This window comes from Homo sapiens, chromosome 7 (assembly GCF_000001405.40).
Source record: "Homo sapiens chromosome 7, GRCh38.p14 Primary Assembly".
NCBI lineage: Eukaryota > Metazoa > Chordata > Mammalia > Primates > Hominidae > Homo > Homo sapiens.
The window spans coordinates 104,716,948-104,738,095 of record NC_000007.14 but is presented as its reverse complement, the minus strand read 5'-3'; the positions used below and the strand labels follow the sequence as shown (position 1 = coordinate 104,738,095).

General features: G+C 38.4%; 1 protein-coding gene across 2 annotated transcripts in view; it reads right to left on the bottom strand.

The window, feature by feature from the left end:
- Positions 1-21,148, bottom strand: part of LHFPL3 (LHFPL tetraspan subfamily member 3) — a 579,959-nt gene that overhangs the window by 170,466 nt on the left and 388,345 nt on the right. For both annotated transcript variants that reach the window (NM_001386065.1, NM_199000.3), the window contains exon 2: positions 1,185-1,421. In NM_001386065.1, coding sequence (NP_001372994.1) covers positions 1,185-1,421 — 237 coding nt within the window. The remainder of the gene's footprint in view (positions 1-1,184; positions 1,422-21,148) is intronic.

Sequence of the window (21,148 nt, the reverse complement as noted above, 5' to 3'; positions counted from 1 at the left end):
TAAATCAGGGAGAAAAGGGGTTTGTGGGTGACTGCTGCTCTGCTGGGCTGCTCCATTTTAGTCCATAGACTATTTCTATGTCATAGTTTACCCGCATAAACAGTTTACCCGCATAAACAGTGATGGTCTAGATATAAAGCCTGCTATATCATTACATGTGACAGTTATGTAGAAACTAGTATATACTTATATTTGAGTCCCGTTGAAGCAGTGAAGGGTTTTTGAAATTAGCACCTACTTGAAATAATAAGCTAAATCTCATACTTCAAGGATGGATTTAGCTCCCAATTAGAAATAAGAGCTAGAAGAAGGAGCCACTCAGCTAAAGGTGATAATGTAAGTGCACAGTTTTAAAGTTAAAGATAACATAAAGATAAAACTGTTAAATGAATCTAAGTCTACTAAAAAAACAGAGACACCAAAATTCTATCCCAAAAAATTGGTTTAGAAATCTGAAAAGAAAATTAAAAGATTCATCTTCAATAACAACTTGCTACCTCTTATTTGCCCACTATGATATATTTACGTATCATTCAATAGTCAATGTTCTATTTTCCATCCTGGTTTTCTTTGTGTTTCAGAAGGCAATTTCTTTTGGAAAAGAAATCTGAGGACTTTTGATACGCAGACAACACATTTAAAATTCAGCTAATTAGGTAACTACTGAAATCTCTAACTAACTATTTGGGGCCAGTGTTACTACCTCTCTCTGAGAAGTTGGGTCTGAATTCAATTATCACAAATAGTTTAATAAAGATATATATAGATGATGTTAGAGATTCTCCAGGCATTTATTTCAACCTGAAACATAGCTGAATACATGGAGAGAAAGTACTTTCCATTCAACCAAATAGACACCACCCACAGTTACATCTTAGCCATTAAGTTCTGATGGCAAACCTGAAATCAGAGGAAGAGGGAAGAAGAAACCGGAAAAAAAAAAGCATCAAAATAATAATAATGGACTAAGGGAGTTTCAGAAAGATAAGTAAGTATAATATTATATTTTTATTGTGTAAGCTTCTTGAGTTGAGTCTGGGGTAAAGTCTGCAAGCTACACGGTATTAAAAGAGGCAGCAAATTAGAACCTCAGGGGAAGCACTAGTATTTGAGGGGAAAGAATGGAGAGCACCATTTTTTTGTGCTTGAGGCATCCAGGTAAGAGTTCCTTAAAGCAATCTTACCTTTGTTTTCTGCCTTCAGTTCCTCTGCCATCAAGCTGTCTTGTCGATTACCAAGCACAAATGCTAGAAATGAGAGGATCAGGGCATCCAAAATTCCAATAATAGCCAGGATGTATGCCCAGCGGACTGAGCAAGCCCCAAGAGTGTACTTGTCTGTCTTTTCTCCACACATCCGTTTTACTTCATCTGAGTCCCAGCCATCAGGGAAAATCATACAGCCAAGCACAAGGCAGGCAGCTTGGAGAGAAAGAGAGAAAAACAAAAGAAACAAAAAAGATAAGTCAATAAATTTTAACTTAGCAAATGTTTCCACTGTCTGTCGAATCATTGTTTCAAATTATTCTTGATTTAAAAAACAGCAAATCTCACCACTGTCACTCTGAATGTGTGTGTGTGTGTGTGTGGGCATGCAAACGTGCACGTGTGTGTGTTGCTGGTTAAGGTAAAAGCAGCCCAGCACTCTACATTGAAAGAAACTCTGGGAATGCACTTTACAGTGAACGCAAGCATCCCGAAAGAGGTTAAGAAAATATTAAGAAATGGAATTTTGGGGTGCATTTGTGGGAAGGGTTCCATTACAGATAGGTCATAAGGAATCATAACACTGCAAAATAACAATTCAAGGCTGGATTTGAGGAGCTATGACAGCAGCCACAAAAGGATAACATGGCAAACACTAGAGTGTGTACTGACTTTGAATCACTATGAAAAATATTTTTATATTGGGATCACCCCTCTTCCCCTGCCACAGAAAAGTTTTGTTTTTTTTCTCCTTCCTTTTCTTTGTTTTTCTGGTATGGATACAGAGAAAGGATACACTGTTGGTGGAAATGTAAACTGGTATAGCCATATGGAAAACAACATGGAGGATCCTCAAAAAATTAAAAATAGAACCACAATATGATTCAGCAATCCCACTATTGAGTATATGTCCAAAGGAAATAAAATTAGTATGTCAAAGAGATATCTGAACTCCCATGTTATTACAGCACTCTTCACAATAGCCAAGTTATGCAATCAACCTAATGTCTATCAATGGATGAACTGATAAAGAAAGTGTTATGGCGGTTCCAAAATGGCTGAATAGGAACAGCTCCAGTCTATAGCTCCCAGCATGAGTGACACAGAAGACAGGTGATTTCTGCATTTCCAACTGAGGTACTGGGTTCATCTCACTGGGGCTTGTCAGACAGTGGGTGCAGTGCACCGAGCGTAAGCTGAAGCAGGGCGATGCATTGCCTCACCTGGGAAGTGCAAGGGGTCAGGGAATTCCCTTTCCTAGCCAAGCAAAGCTGTAACAGATGGCACCTGGAAAATCGGGTCACTCTCATCCTAATACTGCGCTTTTCCAGTGGTCATAGCAAACAGCACACCAGCAGATCAGATCCCGCAACTGGCTCGGAGGGTCCTATGCCCACGGAGCCTTGCTCATTGCTAGCACAGCAGTCTGAGATCAAACTGCAAGGTGGCAGCTAGGCTGGGAGAGGGGCGCCCGCCATTGCCAAGGCTTGAGTAGGTAAACAAAGCGGCTGGGAAGCTCGAACTGGGTGGAGCCCACCGCAGCTCAAGGAGGCCTGCCTGCCTCTGTAGACTTCACCTCTGGGGGCAGGGCATAGCCAAACAAAAGGCAGCAGAAAGCTCTGCAGACTTAAATGTCCCTGTCTGACAGCTTTGAAGAGAGTAGTGGTTCTCCCAGCACGGAGTTTGAGATCTGAGAACCAACAGACTGCCTCCTCAAGTGGGTCCCTCACTCCTGAGTAGCCTATCTGGGAGGCACCCCTAGTAGGGGCAGACTGACACCTCACATGGCGGGGTACCCCTCTGAGACGAAACTTCCAGAGGAACGATCAGACAGCAACATTTGCTTTTCACCAATATCCGCTGTTCTGCAGCCTCTGCTGGTGATACCCAGGCAAACAGGGTCTGGAGTGGACTTCCAGCAAACTCCAACAGACCTGCAGCTGAGGGTCCTGACTGTTAAAAGGAAAACTAACAAACAGAAAGGCCATCCACACCAAAACCCCATCTGTACGTCACCATCATCAAAGACCAAAGGTGGATAAAACCACAAAGATGGGGAAAAAACAGAACAGAAAAACTGAAAATTCTAAAAATCAGAGCACCTCTCCTCCTCCAAAGGAACGCAGCTCCTCACCAGCAACGGAACAAAGCTGGATGGAGAATGACTTTGACGAGTTGAGAGAAGAAGGCTTCAGATGATCAAATTTCTCCGAGCTAAAGAGGAAGTTTGAACCCATGGCAAAGAAGTTAAAAACCTTGAAAAAAGATTAGACGAATGGCTAACTAGAATAACCAATGCAGAGAAGTCCTTAAAGGACCTGATGGAGCTGAAAACCAAGGCACAAGAACTATGTGACGAATGCACAAGCTTCAGTAGCTGATTCAATCAACTGGAAGAAAGGGTATCAGTGATTGAAGATCAAATGAATGAAATGAAGTGAGAAGAGAGGTTTAGAGAAAAAAGAATAAAAAGAAACGAACAAGGTCTCCAAGAAATATGGGACTATGTGAAAAGACCAAATCTATGTCTGATTGGTGTAGCTTAAAGTGACGGGGAGAATGGAACCAAGTTGGAAAACACTCTGCAGGATATTATCCAGGAGAACTTCCCCAACCTAGCAAGGCAGGCCAACATTCAAATTCAGGAGATACAGAGAATGCCACAAAGATACTCCCTGAGAGGAGCAACTCCAAGATACATAATTGTCAGAGTCACCAAAGTTGAAATGAAAAAAATGTTAAGGGCAGCCAGAGAGAAAGGTCGGGTTACCCACAAAGGGAAGCCCATCAGACTAACAGCTGATCTCTCAGCAGAAACTCTACAAGCCAGAAGAGAGTGGGGGCCAATATTCAACATTCTTAAAGAAAAGAATTTTCAACCCAGAATTTCATATCCAGCCAAACTAAGCTTCATAAGTGAAGGAGAAATAAAATCCTTTACAGACGAGCAAATGCTGAGAGATTTTGTCACCACCAGGCCTGCCCTACAAGAGCTCCTGAAGGAAGCACTAAATATGGAAAGGAATAACCGGTCCCAGCCACTGCAAAGACATGCCAAACTGTAAAGCCCATCGATGCTAGGAAGAAACTGCATCAACTAATGAGCAAAATAACCAGCTAACATCATAATGACAGGATCAAATTCACACATAACAATATTAGTCTTAGATGTAAATGGGCTAAATCCTCCAATTAAAAGACACAGACTGGCAAATTGGATAAAAAGTCAAGACCCATCAGGTGCTGTATTCAGGAAACCCATCTCATGTGCAGAGACACACATAGGCTCAAAATAAAGGGATGGAGGAAGATCTACCAAGCAAATGGAAAACAAAGAAAGGGAGGGGTTGCAATCCTAGTCTCTGATAAAACAGACTTTAAAACAACAAAGATCAAAAGAGACAAAGAAGGCCATTACATAATGGTAAAGGGATGAATTCAACAAGAAGAGCTAACTATCCTAAATATATATGCACCCAATACAGGAGAACCCAGATTCATAAAGTAAGTCCTTAGTGACCTACAAAGAGACTTAGACTCCCACACAATAATAAGGGGAGATTTTAACACCCCACTCTCTACATTAGACAGAAACGAGACAGAAAGTTAACAAGGATATCCAGGAATTGAATTCAGCTCTGTACCAAGCAGACCTAATAGACATCTACAGAACTCTCCACCCCAAATCAACAGCATATACATTTTTCTCAGCACCACACCACACCTATTCCAAAATTGACCACATAGTTGGAAGTAAAGCACTCCTCAGCAAATGTAAAAGAACAGAAATTATAACAAACTGTCTCTTAGAACACAGTGCAATCAAACTAGAACTCAGGATTAAGAAACTCACTCAAAACCTCTCAACTACATGGAAACTGAACAACCTGCTCCTGAATGACTATGGGGTACATAACAAAATGAAGGCAGAAATAAAGATGTTTTTGAAACCAATGAGAACAAAGACACAACATACCAGAATCTCTGGGACACATTTAAAGCGGTGTGTAGAGGGAAACTTACAGCACTAAATGCCCACAAGAGAAAGCAGGAAAGATCTAAAATTGACATCCTAACATGACAATTAAAAGAACTAGAGAAGCAAGAGCAAACACATTCAAAAGCTAGCAGAAAGCAAGAAATAACTAAGATGAGAGCAGAACTGAAGGAGATAGAGACATAAAAAACCCTTCAAAAAATCAATGAATCCAGGAGCTGGTTTTTTGAAAAGATCAACAAAATTGATAGACCACTAACAAGACTAATAAAGAAGAAAAGAGAGAAGAATCAAATAGATGCAATAGAAAATGATAAAGGGGATATCACCACCAATCCCACAGAAAGACAAAATACCATCAGAGAATACTATAAACACCTCTACAAAAACAAACTAGAAAATCTAGAAGAAATGGATAAATTCCTGGACATATACATCCTCCCAAGACTAAACCAGGAAGAAGTTGAATCTCTGAATAGACCAATAACAGGCTCTGTCATTGAGGCAATAATTAATAGCTTACCAACCAAAAAAAGTCCAGGATCAGATGGATTCACAGCCGAATTCTACCAGAGGTACAAGGAGCAGCTGGTACCAAGCCTTCCGAAACTATTCCAATCAATAGAAAAAGAGGGAATCCTCCCTAACTCATTTTATGAGGCCAGCACCATCCTGATACCAAAGCCTGGCAGGGACACAACCAAAAAAGAGAATTTTAGATCAATATCCCTGATGAACATTGATGCAAAAATCCTCAATAAAATACTGGCAAACTGAATCCAGCAGCACATCAAAAAGCTTATCCACCATGATCAAGTGGACTTCATCCCTGGGATGCAAGGCTGGTTCAATATATGCAAATCAATAAACGTAATCCATCATATAAACAGAACCAAAGACAAAAAACACATGATTATCTCAATAGATGCAGAAAAGGCCTTTGACAAAATTCAACAGCCCTTCATGCTAAAAACTCTCAATAAATTAGGTATTAATGAGACGTATCTCAAAATAATAAGAGCTATTTATGACAAACCCACAGCCAATATCATACTGAATGGGCAAAAACTGGAAGCATTCCCTTTGAAAACTGGCACAAGACAGGGATGCCCTCTCTCACCACTCCTATTCAACATAGTGTTGGAAGTTCTGGCCAGGGCAATCAGGCAGGAGAAAGAAATAAAGGGTATTCAATTAGGAAAAAAGGAAGTCAAATTGTCCCTGTTTGCAGATGACATGATTGTATATCTAGAAAACCCCATCATCTCAGCCCAAAGTCTCCTTAAGCTGATAAGCAACTTCAGCAAAGTCTCAGGATACAAAATCAATGTGCAAAAATCACAAGCATTCTTATACACCAATAACAGACAAACATAGAGCCGAATCATGAGTGAACTCCCATTCACAATTGCTTCAAAGAGAATAAAATACCTAGGAATCCAACTTACAAGGGATGTGAAGGACCTCTTCAAGGAGAACTACAAACCACTGCTCAGTGAAATTAAAGAGGACACAAACAAATGGAAGAACATTCCATCCTCATGGATAGGAAGAATCAATATCATGAAAATGCCATACTGCCCAAGGTAATTCGTAGATTCAATGCCATCCCCATCAAGCTACCAATGACTTTCTTCACAGAATTGGAAAAAACTACTTTAAGAGCCCACATCGCCAAGTCAATCCTAAGCCAAAAGAACAAAGCTGGAGGCATCACGCTACCTGACTTCAAACTATACTACAAGGGTACAGTAACCAAAACAGCATGGTACTGGTACCAAACAGATATAGAGACCAATAGAACAGAACAGAGCCCTCAGAAATAATACCACACATCTACAACTATCTGATCTTTGACAAACCTGACAAAAACAAGAAATGGGGAAAGGATTCCTTATTTAATAAACGGTGCTGGGAAAACTGGCTAGCCATATGTAGAAAGCTGAAACTGTATCCCTTCCTTACACCTTATACAAAAATTAATTCAAGATGGATTAAAGACTTACATGTTAGACCTAAAACCATAAAAACCCTAGAAGAAAACCTAGGCGATACAATTCAGGACATAGGCATGGGCAAAGACTTCATGTCTAAAACACCAAAAGTAATGGCAACAAAAGCCAAAATTGACAAATGGGATCTAATTAAAGTGAAGAGCTTCTGCACAGCAAAAGAAACTACCATCAGAGTGAACAGGCAACCTTCAGAATGGGAGATAATTTTTGCAATCTACTCATCTGACAAAGGGCTAATATCCAGAATCTACAAAGAACTCAAACAAATTTACAAGAAAAAAACAAACAACCCCATCAAAAAGTGGGCGAAGGATATGAACAGACACTTCTCAAAAGAAGACATTTATGCAGCCACCAGACACATGAAAAAATGCTCACCATCACTGGCCATCAGAGAAATGCAAATCAAAACCACAATGAGGTATCATCTGACACCAGTTAGAATGGCGATCTTTAAAAAGTCAGGAAACAACAGGTGCTGGAGAGGCTGTGGGGAAATAGGAACACTTTTACACTGTTGGTGGGACTGTAAACTAGTTCATCCATTGTGGAAGACAGTGTGGCAATTCCTCAGGGATCTAGAACTAGAAATACCATTTGACCCAGCCATCCCATTACTGGGTATATACCCAAAGGAATATAAATCATGCTGCTATAAAGACACATGTACACGTATGTTTACTGTGGCACTACTCAGAACAGCAAAGATTTGGAACCAACCCAAATGTGCAACAATGATAGACTAGATTAAGAAAATGTGGCACACATACACCATGGAATACTCTGCAGCCATAAAAAATGATGAGTTCATGTCCTTTGTAGGGACATGGATGAGCTGGGAACCATCATTCTCAGCAGACTATCACAAGGACAAAAAACCAAACACTGCATGTTCTCACTCATAGGTGGGAACTGAACAATGAGAACACTTGGACACAGGAAGGGGAACATCACACACTGGGGCCTGTTGTGGGGTGGGGGGAGTGGGGAGGGATAGCATTAGGAGATATACCTAATGTAAATGACTAGTTAATGGGTGCAGCACACCAACATGTCACATGTATACATATGTAACAAATCTGCATGTTGTGCACATGTACCCTAGAACTTAAAGTATAATAAAAAATATATATAAAAGAAAATGTTATATAAGTATATATTCAACCATCAAAAAATGAAATCCTTTCATTTGCAGCAACATGAATGAACCTGGAGAACATGATGTTAAGTGAAATAAGCCAGGCACAGAAAGACAAATATCACATGACCTCACTTATACGTAGACTTTAAAGGAGTTGATCTCATAGAAGTGGAGTAAAATACTGGTTATCAGAGGCTTGGGAGGGACTGCGGAAGAAGGATAAGTAGAGACTGGTCAACAGGTACAAAGTTACAGTTAGATAGGAGGAATTATTTCTGGTGTTCTGTTGCACAGTAGGGTGACTATTAGTTAACAACATTATATTATACATTTCAAAATAGCTAGAAGAGAGAAGAGAGGATTTTGAATGTTCTTGCCACAAAGAAATGATAAATGTATGAGGTGATGGATATACTATTCTGTTTTAATTTTTACACTATATATATATTAAAACATCCCATTATATGTTTGCCATAAATACGTGAGATTATTATGAGTCAATAAAAAAAGTTTCTTGAAATTATGCTTACCACATGCAATGCATGCTGATATTTTCTATTCTATTCTCCATTTGATTTCATTTTTAGTAAGGCTGAAAAACACTGCAAAATAGTGTGGCACCACAGAACTTTTATGGAAATTAAGAAATCCTGGAGAATACTGATATTCAATTTCCCAAATATCACTGTGTTAATTCTATAAATACATTTTATAGGAAGAGGTTACTTTGAAAATTAAAAAAGAAAAGTAGCCATGTTGTCTCTTTTTATATTTCATTGAATTATACAGGATACTATTTTTTGGTTATACAAAGCTTTCTGAACAAGTGGGCTCATCCATTCATTCACTAATTCATTCAACAGTTGCTTCAACAGTTGCTTATTGAGTATCTCCTATGAAGTACCAAGCACTGTTCTTGGTGCTAGGGATACAGTGACCAGGAAAGGGACATGGTTTATGTTATTATGGAGCTAATGTTTTGTCAGGAGAAGAGGCGAAAAATGAGTAAGCATACAAATAAAATAGTTGTATGTTGTAGTAAGTACTAACTAGGAAAGAAACTAAAGGCTCAGATAGAAAATAAAGAGTTGGCACTTCTTTAGAAAAGGTGGTCAGGTAAGGCCTCTTGAGGGGGCAACATTTAAGCTAAGGCCAAAAATAGACTGAAAACTAGACAAGTGATATTGGCATGAAAGATGTTCCAGGGAACAGCATGTGGAAAGATTCTGGCATTGGAAAGAGGCTTGCTGTGTTTGAGGAACTATAAGGAGATCAGTTACTGGGATGGAGAAAGTGATCACACTGAGGGTGCAAAGCAGGCAAGGGTTATGTATCATGGCAGGTTACTGTTTCCAGGGTATGTAGCTTAGCCACACTGAGTTAGAGTTCTGTGACTATCAGGGCCATATAATTCCTGAAGCTAGCAAGAGGGTTGCTATATAACTCTTGCCTTACCGCAACTTACTGAACAACACAGGAATGGGCACCTACTTTCTTCCTTTTTAGCAGGTACATGGCTCTACAGGGCAGGTCTGGAGGAGACAGAGACCAAGAGGGGTGACAAGTAGAAAGACTGCCTGGGAGAACTCTGCTTTAGTTATTTGTTATTTTACAGAATAATAGTTCAAAACTGTGGGTCATATTTGATTCTTCTCTTTTCTTTGACCCACATCCCAAGCATTGCCATGCTTCTCTTATCTACCTGTGTGCTCTTTCTGCATAGGTAGGTATTATTGACACGCCCCTACTTTAGGCCTTCATTACCTCTCAAAAACAGGCCTAACTTTTCTCTGCCTTCAGTTTGCCCTTACTCTAATCCAGGTTACACAAGATTGCCTAGATCATCAAGCCAAAATCTTTTTGCTGGCTCCCTACTGGACATTAAAGAACAGAAAGGTACCTTAGTCAGGTATTCAAAAACTCTGTAATCCAGCCCCCACTTACTTTTACACTTGGGTTGAACCTCACATGACTCCAAGTTTTTTTTTCTTTTTTCTCTTCTCTTTGGAGTATTTGCCATGATTTTCCCTAAATGTTCCATTGTTAAATATCTTTTAGTGCTCAAGCCAAATGCAATATCCTCCACAGAGCAAGCCATCTGAAATTCTTCCGATTTGCAATATTGCCTGTCTCTGCACTTTCATAGCTGTTGACAATTCCTAGCTTAGGGTCCGGGTTACTTTTTACATTGTTACAGTTATTTATTTACAAGTATTATCTCAATTAAGAGATTATACGCTTTCTGAAGAAAGAGTCTTTGGTCCACCTTAAATGTAAAACTCAAAGCTATAAAAGCCCTAAAAGAAAATCTAGGCAATACCATTCAGGACATAGGCATGGGCAAAGATTTCATGAGGAAAACGTCAAAAACAACTGCAGCAAAAGCAAAAATTGACAAATGGAATTTAATTAAACTAAAGAGCTTCCATACAGAAGAAACTGTCATCAAAGTGAACAGACAACCTACAGAATGGGAGAAAAGTTTTGCAATCTATCTATCTGACAAAGGCCTAATATTTAGAATCTACGAGGGACTTTAACAAATTTACAAGAAAAAAACACAACCCAATTAAAAAGTGGGCAAAGGATATGAACAGACACTTCTCAAAAGAAGATATTTATGCAGCTAACAAACATGAAAAAAGCTCAACATCACTGATCATTAGAGAAATGCATATCAAAACGACAATGAGATGCTTCTCATGCCAGTCAGAATGGTGATTATCAAAAACCCAAGAAGCAACAGATGCTGGCGAGGCTGTGGAGAAATAGGAACACTTTTACACTGTTGGTGAGAATGTAAATTAGTTCAACCATTGTAGAAGACAGTGTGGCAATTCCTCAAGGATCTAGAACCAGAAATAGCATTTGACCCAGCAATCCCATTACTGGATATATACCCAAAGGAATATAAATCATTGTATTATAAAGACACATGCATGCATATGTTTATTGCAGCACTGTTCACAATAGCGAAGACATGGAATCAACCCAAATGCCCATTAATGATAGACTGGATAAAGAAAATGTGGTACATATACACCATGGAATACCATGCATCCATAAAAAGGACTGAAATCATGTCTTTTGCAGGGACATGGATGGAGCTGGAAGTCATTATCCTCAGCAAACTAATGCAGGAACAGAAAACCAGACACTGCATGGTCTCACTTACAAGCAGGAGTTGAACAATGTGAACACATAGACACAGGGGTGAACAACACACACTGGGGCCTGCTGGGTTAGGCAGGGTGAAGAAGCCCGTCAGGAAAAATAGCTCATGCATGCTAGGCTTAATACCTAGGTGACGGCTTGATAGGTGCAGCAAATCACCATGGTACAGGTTCACTTAGGTAAGAAACCTGCACATCCTGCACATGTACCTTGGAATAAAAAAAAAAAATAGTCTTTGGTCCATCATCGTATACATAGCATCTAAAATAGTGCAACTACATAGTAGGCACTAAAATACGTTTGAAAATGGGAAAATGAATGAACAGTTAAAGGAGCTGTAACATCTAGACAATACACTCTAAAATAAGGTTCATGGAGGTCAATATCACAGTCTCAAATCTAGTTAAAGATGGGTTCATATTTAGTTGACATTTAACAGAAGCAACTTTGTTATGATTAGACAACAGATTACAAGTACTTGGGAGAATTTTTTTTTTTTTTTTTTTTTGCCTGAGATGGAGTCTCACTCTGTCACCCAGGCTGGAGTGCAGTGGTGTGATCTTGGCTCACTGCAACCTCTACCTCCCGGGTTAAAGCAGTTCTCCTGCCTCAGCCTCCCAAGTAGCTGGGATTACAGGCACATGCCACCATGCCTGGCTAATTTTTTGTATTTTTAGTAGAGATGGGGGTTTCACCATGTTGGCCAGGCTGGTATTGAACTCCTGACCTCGTGATCCGCCATTTTTGGCCTCCCAAAGTGCTGGGATTACAGGCGTAAGCCACCGCGCCCTGCCGAGAATAATTCTTAAAAGGTAAAGTTGGTGATTTGAAAATTTTTTCAAATTACTGTTCCCTCTGTATCTCCCAGCAGTCACTAGTCAGTACTCAACTTGCTGTCTAAGGCATTGTCTAGTGATAACAAGATTGTTAAAACACATTGTTTCCATGAAAAGAATTCCTTTTATTTTGGAGGATGCAGAAGATCTTTGAATTCAAACTATAGTTCAAAAAAACACCTCTCAGGATTACTTGGAATATTTTAAAATATTTGAAATGTTTTTTACATACTAAATAATTTTATTTGTGAGAAAATTAATTTCTTATAAAGAAAAAAAGAAAACTGAATATTTTTATTTTACAAATGGGAATCACCTGAAGAATAACTTACATTACAGTTGCAGCTAAAGTTAATAGAAATCACCAACTGACATAAGCTCAGGCAGGTTAGTGAACATTATAGGACAACTTCACTGGAACAGGATGTGTGTGGAATGGTTATGTCAACAAAGACGTCTTTTCTCAAAGTCCTTCTGTCTTGAAGGTAGGCTATCTTAGAACTTTCATTTCTGGAAACTCTAAGTTACAAATTGGGATAAAAAAAAACAGAGGTAGAATTAACTCTGAATTAAAACCACAGGAGAATAAGAATGGCAAGCCATTGTTCCCTGTTTTCAAAATATGACTTTCTAAATGAAATTTTAAGTGAAGAATATGAGAAGATAGATGAAATAATATACAACAGTACTTTATGCAATGGATATTTTGCTGAAAGTTACAAAAAGAGAATTTCTGAAATGCAATTCTTATTTTCAATAATGCAAGAGAGTTGACTGGTTGGAGAATGCTTAAAACCTGTCTAACAAGGTCAGGGTTTTGGGCTCCTGGAGAAAAATGTTTAGGCCTACCTAGTAAGGATATTTCGGGTCTCCTTCAGGCTACAGGGCACTGTAGTGTGTACGGGTTCTCCATCCACTTCTTGTCAGCCTTTTCTTTTCTTTTGGATATATTCTTTTCTTTTGACTTTTATTTTAAGTTCAGGGGTACATGTGGAGGTTTGTTGCATAGGTAAACTTATGTCATGGGGTTTGTTGTACAGATTATTTCATAACCCAGGTATTAAGCCTAGTACCCATTAGTTATTTTTCCTGGTCTTCTCCCTCCTCCCACCCTCCACCCTCTGAAAGGTCCCAGTGTGTGTCGTTCCACTGTATGTGTCCATGTGTTCTCATCATTTAGTTTTCTTAAAGTGAAAGACTTTATCCCTTTCTAATTTCTCTGTTTTGAAAATCTAAATAGTTGTATGGTAGGATTTAAAAAACACACAATTGCACTTAAAAGCTTTTAAAACTTTAGATGGCCATTGCATAACAGAAGTTTTATTTTCTGACAATGTATTATCAAAATGTACATTTTCTTCTCCTCCTATCCGAACTCCTCCTACTTGGCTGTTTTATTCTGTTTCTGAAAGGTTAACGCCCCAAAAGCTTAGTATATTTAATTTAAGCCATTAAAATAGTTTAGGCTTTGTTGGTTTCTTTGGAAAGGCATGACTATTATATTCCACATTAATGCTTGAGTGCTGTAATAAATTTCTGTTTTCTGGCATTCCGTTAACCAGAACCTTATTAACCTGCACGATTTGTATAGCCACTGGAAACTAACAGCTGCTCCTAATCCTAAGAAGTACCTGCAAGATCCTAGGCTAATGCCTCAGTCAACGAAAGTTTAAATAATACTCCTCTTGGCTTTATAATTAGTTATTTCTGATTCTTCACAAATTGATAATCCTTTAAGATGTAGCACCATCACAATAGTAAACATTACAGTATACAAGGCACCAGGACATTAGATTAATTTGGACATGCTATTTCCTGACCAGGAGGGATAGTAAAGAATTAGTTTCAACTGGACTATTATCCAAAAATGGGTTTCTTATTAAAATGTCACCTAGGAAATTACTAACCTCCTTGCAGCTATGTATTTCTTCATTTTGGCAGCAAGCAGGTTTTTTGGAAGTATATCAGAGATCATCTTTTTTTTTTTTTTTTTTTTTTTTTTTTTGGAGACATAGTCTTGCTCTGTCGCCCAGGCTGGAGTGCAATGGTGCAATCTTGGCTCACTGCAACCTCTACCTCGCGGGTTCAAGCGATTCTCCTGTCTCAGCCTCTTAAGTAGCTGGGATTATAGGTGCCCACCGCCACACCCAACTAATTTTTGTATTTTTCGTAGAGACAGGGTTTCACCATGTTGGTCAGGCTGGTCTCAAACTCCTGACTTCAAGTGATCCACCCACCTCTGCCTCCCAAAGTGCTGGGATTACAGGCGTGAGCCACTGCACTGGGCTGAGAGAACATTCTTGAATGCTAAAGAGAAACGAGAGCTCACAAGCTGGAGGTGAGCAGAGAAGTGATGAAAAGAAACCATGCCATGATATCTTCTGACACAGAGTAAACAACAAAAGCTTCTTTGTGAGGATATCACCGATGATTTCAATTTTAGGTATCTTCCAAATGTTTAAGAAACATTTACATTCTGAAAGGAATCTCTGTGTAGAGGCTACTGATGCCCACAAAGGGCTCTTCTGAAATAGTACACAAATGGCTAGTGGTTCCCCAGAGCCACTAATTGCTCTGGCATTTTTCTTGCTAAAGAGCTGAATGTAACCTCTATGGAGGAAACATCCTTAGAAAAATCCACAAACCTTTGTAATTGGGTCTTTCTTCAAAGGAAAATGAAGCAAAATGAAAAAAGCAATAGGGGGCCTATGACTTGGGTTACGTGGGCCTGCTGATACTGCTGGTCTGACTATCCCATTTGGGGCTTTTAACGTTGTGAACCTGAGAACTACTTATTTTTTTAACAGAAGGAGAAAGTCTAAATTCATTCTTTAAAAAGTCTATGCACTGTTGCACAAAAAAACTGATAAATTGCCTCATGTTGCTGAAGCACTCAAGGGGAACTTGGTGAAAAAAAGGAACCTGCATCCGCTTAGCTCTGTCAATTATTCAGGCATACAGTAGTTGAAGAAATTGATGCCAGCAGACACTGCCAGGCTATGGAGGGGGAACTTTCACACAAGGATTGTCACTCTTAACACCTGGTAAAAGAGATAGAAGGCTCATTCCTATCACTTCTTTATTGGCACGTGGCTGACAAACTTGAGCTATAATATTTATACCTCTAGAAAAAGTATAATATTTACACCTTGGTCTCTTCTGAAAACAGAGTCACTGGACAATCTAGGACATGAAATACTGTGGTTTAGAGTGTGGTGAAGAAAACACATTGTGTCCTGGTAAATTTTGGCTTTAAACACAGTGTAATTTTATGGGCATTTAACTTGGGGTCGTAACACAAAATATGTAACATCCCTTAGGGAGATAGAGGAGAAAAGAAAATATAAACACAGGGCTCTTAAAAGAGAAGAGTTAGAATGTTGTGTCTGATGATGAGAAAAGCCTCTCTGCTGTGCCAAAATACGTAGCTCCAGTTTGTTCAACTAAAAGGATCTGTATATACATCCACACATTGTGCGGTATCAGCTGTGAAACCTTGGACCTCGGCTGTAAGCAGATGATCTGGAGTCCGTCCACACCTGCATGTATGAACTATCTAGTTGATGGAGAAACACCTTTTATAGAATATGTTGCCAGACAAAAGGCAACATATTGAAATATGTTTCAGAAAAATAAATAACATCACTTGCTAATTTACCCAAATTTTAAGGGTTAATACCCAAATAAAATGAAAATCAGAATTTAGAACTTGAAAAATTAAAAGCAGTTCTGATCTCTAGAGCACCACTAGATGGCTTCTGATACATACCAAGGGTCCAGTCACATTCATTGAAATCCTGCTAATGGTATAGTTAATAATAATAATACACATCATAATAATAGCTAATATTTATTGAACATTTACCATGTATGGGGCACACTTTACAGGCATCATCTCATTTGATTCTCCAATAAAGCTAAGAGAAACATGAGAACACTTCTTCCTGACACCTTCAGTTTCTGCAAAGAGGAATTTTTCCTTAAATACTCTTGGCCCCTTATTCCACTTCTCATTCCTTTCCATGGCAGTGGAATGAGTTACCTGATGAGTGTCTGGGGAAGAGGAACTGGGAATACCTTTCCAACACTTTCCTTTCCCTACCTTAGGAGTAGTTTGTCCACGCAAAGCATGTGTTCTACTCCTCCATGCTATACATCCTACATCAGGCTGGCCTGATTTTTTTTTTTAATTATACTTTAAGTTCTAGGGTACATGTGCACAACGTGCAGGTTTGATACACAGGTATACATGTGCCATGTTGGTTTGGTGCACCCATCAACTCATCATTTACATCAGGTATTTCTCCTAATGCTATCCCTCCCCTAGCTCCCCCACTCCCCGACAGGCCCCAGTGTGTGATATTCCCTGCCCTGTGTCCAAGTGATCTCATTGTTCAGTTCCCACCTATGAGGGAGAGCATGCGGTGTTTGGTTTTCTGTCCTTGTGATAGTTTGCTGAGAATGATGGTTTTCAGCTTCATCCATGTCCCTGCAAGAGACATGAACTCATCCTTTTTTATGGCTGCATAGTATTCTATGCTGTATATGTGCCACATTTTCTTAATCCAGTCTATCACTGATGGACATTTGGGTTGGTTCCAAGTCTTTCCTATTGTGAATAGTGCCACAATAAATATACATGTGCATGTGTCTTTATAGTAGCATGATTTATAATCCTTTGGGTATATAACCAGTAATGGGATTGCTAGGTCAAATGGTAATTCTAGTTCTAGATCTTTGAGGAATCGTCACACTGTCTTCCTCAATGGTTGAACTAATTTACACTCCCACCAACAGTGTAAAAGCATTCCTATTTCTCCACATCCTCTCCAGCATCTGTTGTTTCCTGACTTTTTAATGATCGCCATTCTAACTGGCGTAAGATGGTATCTCATTGTGGTTTTGATTTGCATTTCTCTGATGACCAGTGATGATGAGCATTTTTTCATGTGTCTGTTGGCTGCATAGATGTCTTCTTTTGAGAAGTGTCTGCTCATATCCTTCGCCCACTTTTTGATGGGGTGTTTTTTTTCTTGTAAATTTTTTGGAGTTCATTGTAGATTCTGTATATTAGCCCTTTGTCAGATGAGTAGATTGCAAAATTTTTCTCCCATTCTGTAGGTTGACTGTTCACTCTGATGGTAGTTTCTTTTGCTGTGCAGAAGCTCTTTAGTTTAATTAGATCCCATTTGTCAATTTCGGTTTTTGTTGCCATTGCTTTTGGTGTTTTAGTCATGAAGTCCTTGCCCATGCCTACGTCCTGAATTGTATTGCCTAGGTTTTCTTCTAGGGTTTTTATGGTTTTAGGTCTAACATGTAAGTCTTTAATCCATCTTGAATTAATTTTTGTATAAGGTATAAGGAAGGGATTCAGTTTCAGCTTTCTACATATGGCTAGCCAGTTTTCCCAGCACCATTTATTAAATAGGGAATCCTTTCCCCATTTCTCATTTCTGTCAGGTTTGTCAAAGATCAGATGGTTGTAGATGTGTGGTGTTATTTCTGAAGCCTCTGTTCTGTTCCATTGGTCTATATATCTGTTTTGGTACCAGTACCATGCTGTTTTGGTTACTGTAGAAGGCAGGCCTGCTGAGATTAGGAAGATTCAGTATGTCTCATTCTAAGAGTGCAGACTAGTAAGTCCTTTTGGCTAATAGAGCCAGAGCCATGTTCTTCTGCCTAGGCTTTTTTGTAATAAAGGGGCTATTTTGGTTCCCATCTTCCTCCATCGCTCTCAGTTGGTTTGGAGGTCAGGTTCGGAAATAGGAGGCTGCCATTTGTTATTTCTCGACCAACCTTGACATTATTATTATTTTTTTACATGTGAGGGAACAGAGGCATACAAATGTCAAATACTTGCTCGAGGTCATACACGGTCCACAAATGGCAGAATCAGGATTTGAACCTAGGCAGTCTATGCTTTTGGAATCTATGCTTTTATTATCCTCTACATATGAACAGTAACAACGCATGTGAAATCACTTTCGAATATTGGTTTTAGCACTAAGAACACTTATAGAATCTTGGCATTGCTTAACATGTTACTTATAACTAGACATTTTTTGAGTACAAGAACTACTAATAAAATGACGCTTAAAAACTGTTGGTTTTTATATGTATAAATATTTCTTTTATTTACACTAGAATTTCACCTAATTAGAATTTCATTTTACACGTAGTGCCAAGAACTTTAGAATAATTATAAATGCTAAATGTGTGGAATGGGAATTAATGAGCTTTTATTGCATAAATTCATGTATAAACATTTGTATAGTTGGTTTCATATACACATACAGTTTGTTCCATACACACTTGTACAAGAATACTCATCCCCCTTTTTTGGCTTGATTTTTTTGCCTCGATATTTTAAGTTGGCTTTATGTTAGCTAAACATTTTTATATGTTCTTAAAAGGTATATATTCCTTTCAAAGATTATATATATACATGTGTATGTGTACATGTGTACTTTATTAATTTATATATATGGCTACTTGTATGTATAATAATTTCTCCTTCTTATAAATAAAGATATGAATCAATTAGGTTCTATTTAAGTTTTTGTAAAGCTTTATTTTTTGAAAGTAACTTCTTTGGATTTCAGTAAACACATTGTTTTAATAAAAATTTTAATAAATACCAACTGAACATGCTGGCAGGTCACAAACACATCTGTAATTTGCAGGAGAGGACTTGACTTAGGCAACATTTTCACAAGCTAAAATCTAAACAGCATTTTTGCCGCAGGATCTTAAGAGAAGAAAAGAGCATAATTCTCCATATGAACAGGATCACCATTCTCCCAGCAAAACCTGCTTCAGCCAGGGTGACACCCAAAGCAAGGTAACACAGACCAGTGGTTATCCTGCTAGCAGTTCTGTGTGCCTCTAGACTACCACTTTGTGCCATAGTTACTTTATTTGTAAAACAGGGAGCCTGGGTCCAGATTATTGAGTGGTTACCTACTATTTAGCTTATTCATTTTGATAATAAATTTGTATGCACTTGGTGTTCCATATACATATTATGAGAAATAATTTTGCTTGTGCCATTACTTTTCATGGCAAAAATTGCGATTACTTTTGCACCAACCTAGTAATTCACAAGCTGACTAAATGTCTTCCTGCACAGCAGGTGGAGAGAGGGAGGCATTCTCACTCTCCACCCTGGCTTACCACGATGCTGAGGGAAAGTCACTATAGGCTGAAATTAGACAAGGCCAGGAATTCTGTGCCAGTCTGACTACCAGCATTACAATTTCCAAATACAAGGGCTGGCCTTAGGAGTAATTTAATTCTTTCTCAGCGAGGACCAGCATTTCTAAGCCCAAAAGACCCGTTTGGAAATAGAGTATCCATTTCTAGCCACTTTCCTAAAACAGAATATGGCACGAATGCAGCTTTTTTCCCCCTTAATTTTATTTCATTGTGGGTAAGGACATTATATTCACCCTCTTAATAAAATTTCAAGCACACAATATAGTATTATTAACTATAAGCACAATGTTCTACGAATCTCTAGAACTTATTCATCTTGCATAACCCAAACTTTATGCCAGTTGATTGGCAACTCCCTATTTTTCCCTACCTCCAGCCCCTAGCAGCCACTATTCCACTCACTGATTCTATGAGTTTAACTATTTTAGATAGATACCTGAAGTGTTTGTCCTTCTGTGACTGGCTTATTTCACTTAGCATAATGTCCTCAAGATTTATCTATGGTATTGCATATTGCAGACTTTCCTTCTTTTTAAAGGCAGAATCATATTTCATTGTATGTATATACTATATTTTGTAATCCATCTATCTGTCCATGGACACTTAGAGAGGTAGGTTTCTCTACCTTGGTTATTGTGAATAGTGCTGCACTGAACATAGGAATACTAATATCTCCTTGAGACCCTGATTTCAATTCTTTTGGAATAATACTCAGAAGTAGGATTGCTGAATCATATGGTAGTTCTATTTTTAATTTTTTGAGGAACTGCCATATAGTTTTTCATAGTGGCTGTACCATTTTGAATCCCACCAACAATATACAAGAGTTCCAATTTCTCCATATCCTCACCAACAATTCTTATTGCCTTTTTTTTATAGTAGTCATCCTAATGAGTATGAGGTGGTATCTTACTGTAGTTTTAAAATGCATTTCCCTGATTATTAGTGACATTGGGCATATTTTTATATACCCATTGGCCACTTGTATGTCTTCTTTTGAGAAACATATGTTCAAGTCTTTAGCCCATTTTAAAATCAGGTTATTAGTTTTTCTCTATTGTGTAGTAGGGTATCCTTACATATTTTGGAAATTAACCGTGTATCAGATATAGAGTTTGCAAATATTTTCTCCCATGCCATAGGTTGCCTTATCACTTTGCTTATTATTTCCTTTGTTCTGCAGAAGCTTTTTAGTTTGATGTAGTCCCATTTTTCTATTTTTGCTTTTGTTACCTGTGCTTTTGGTGTCATATTCATAAAATCATTGCCAAGACTAATGTTATAAGTTTTTCCCTCTGTGTTTTCTTCTCAGAGTTTTACAGTTTAGGCCTTATTTTTAAGTCCTTAATCCATTTTGACTTGATTTTTGTGTGTGGTGTAAGATAAGATTCCAATTTCCTACTTCTGCAGGTATATATCTGGTTTACCCAACATCATTTTTTTCCACTGTGTATTTTTGGTACACCTGTAGAAGATTAGTTGACCATACATGTATGGAATTATTTCTGGGATCTCTATTCTATTCCACTGGACTACATGTCTGTCTTTATGTCAGTATGGTACTG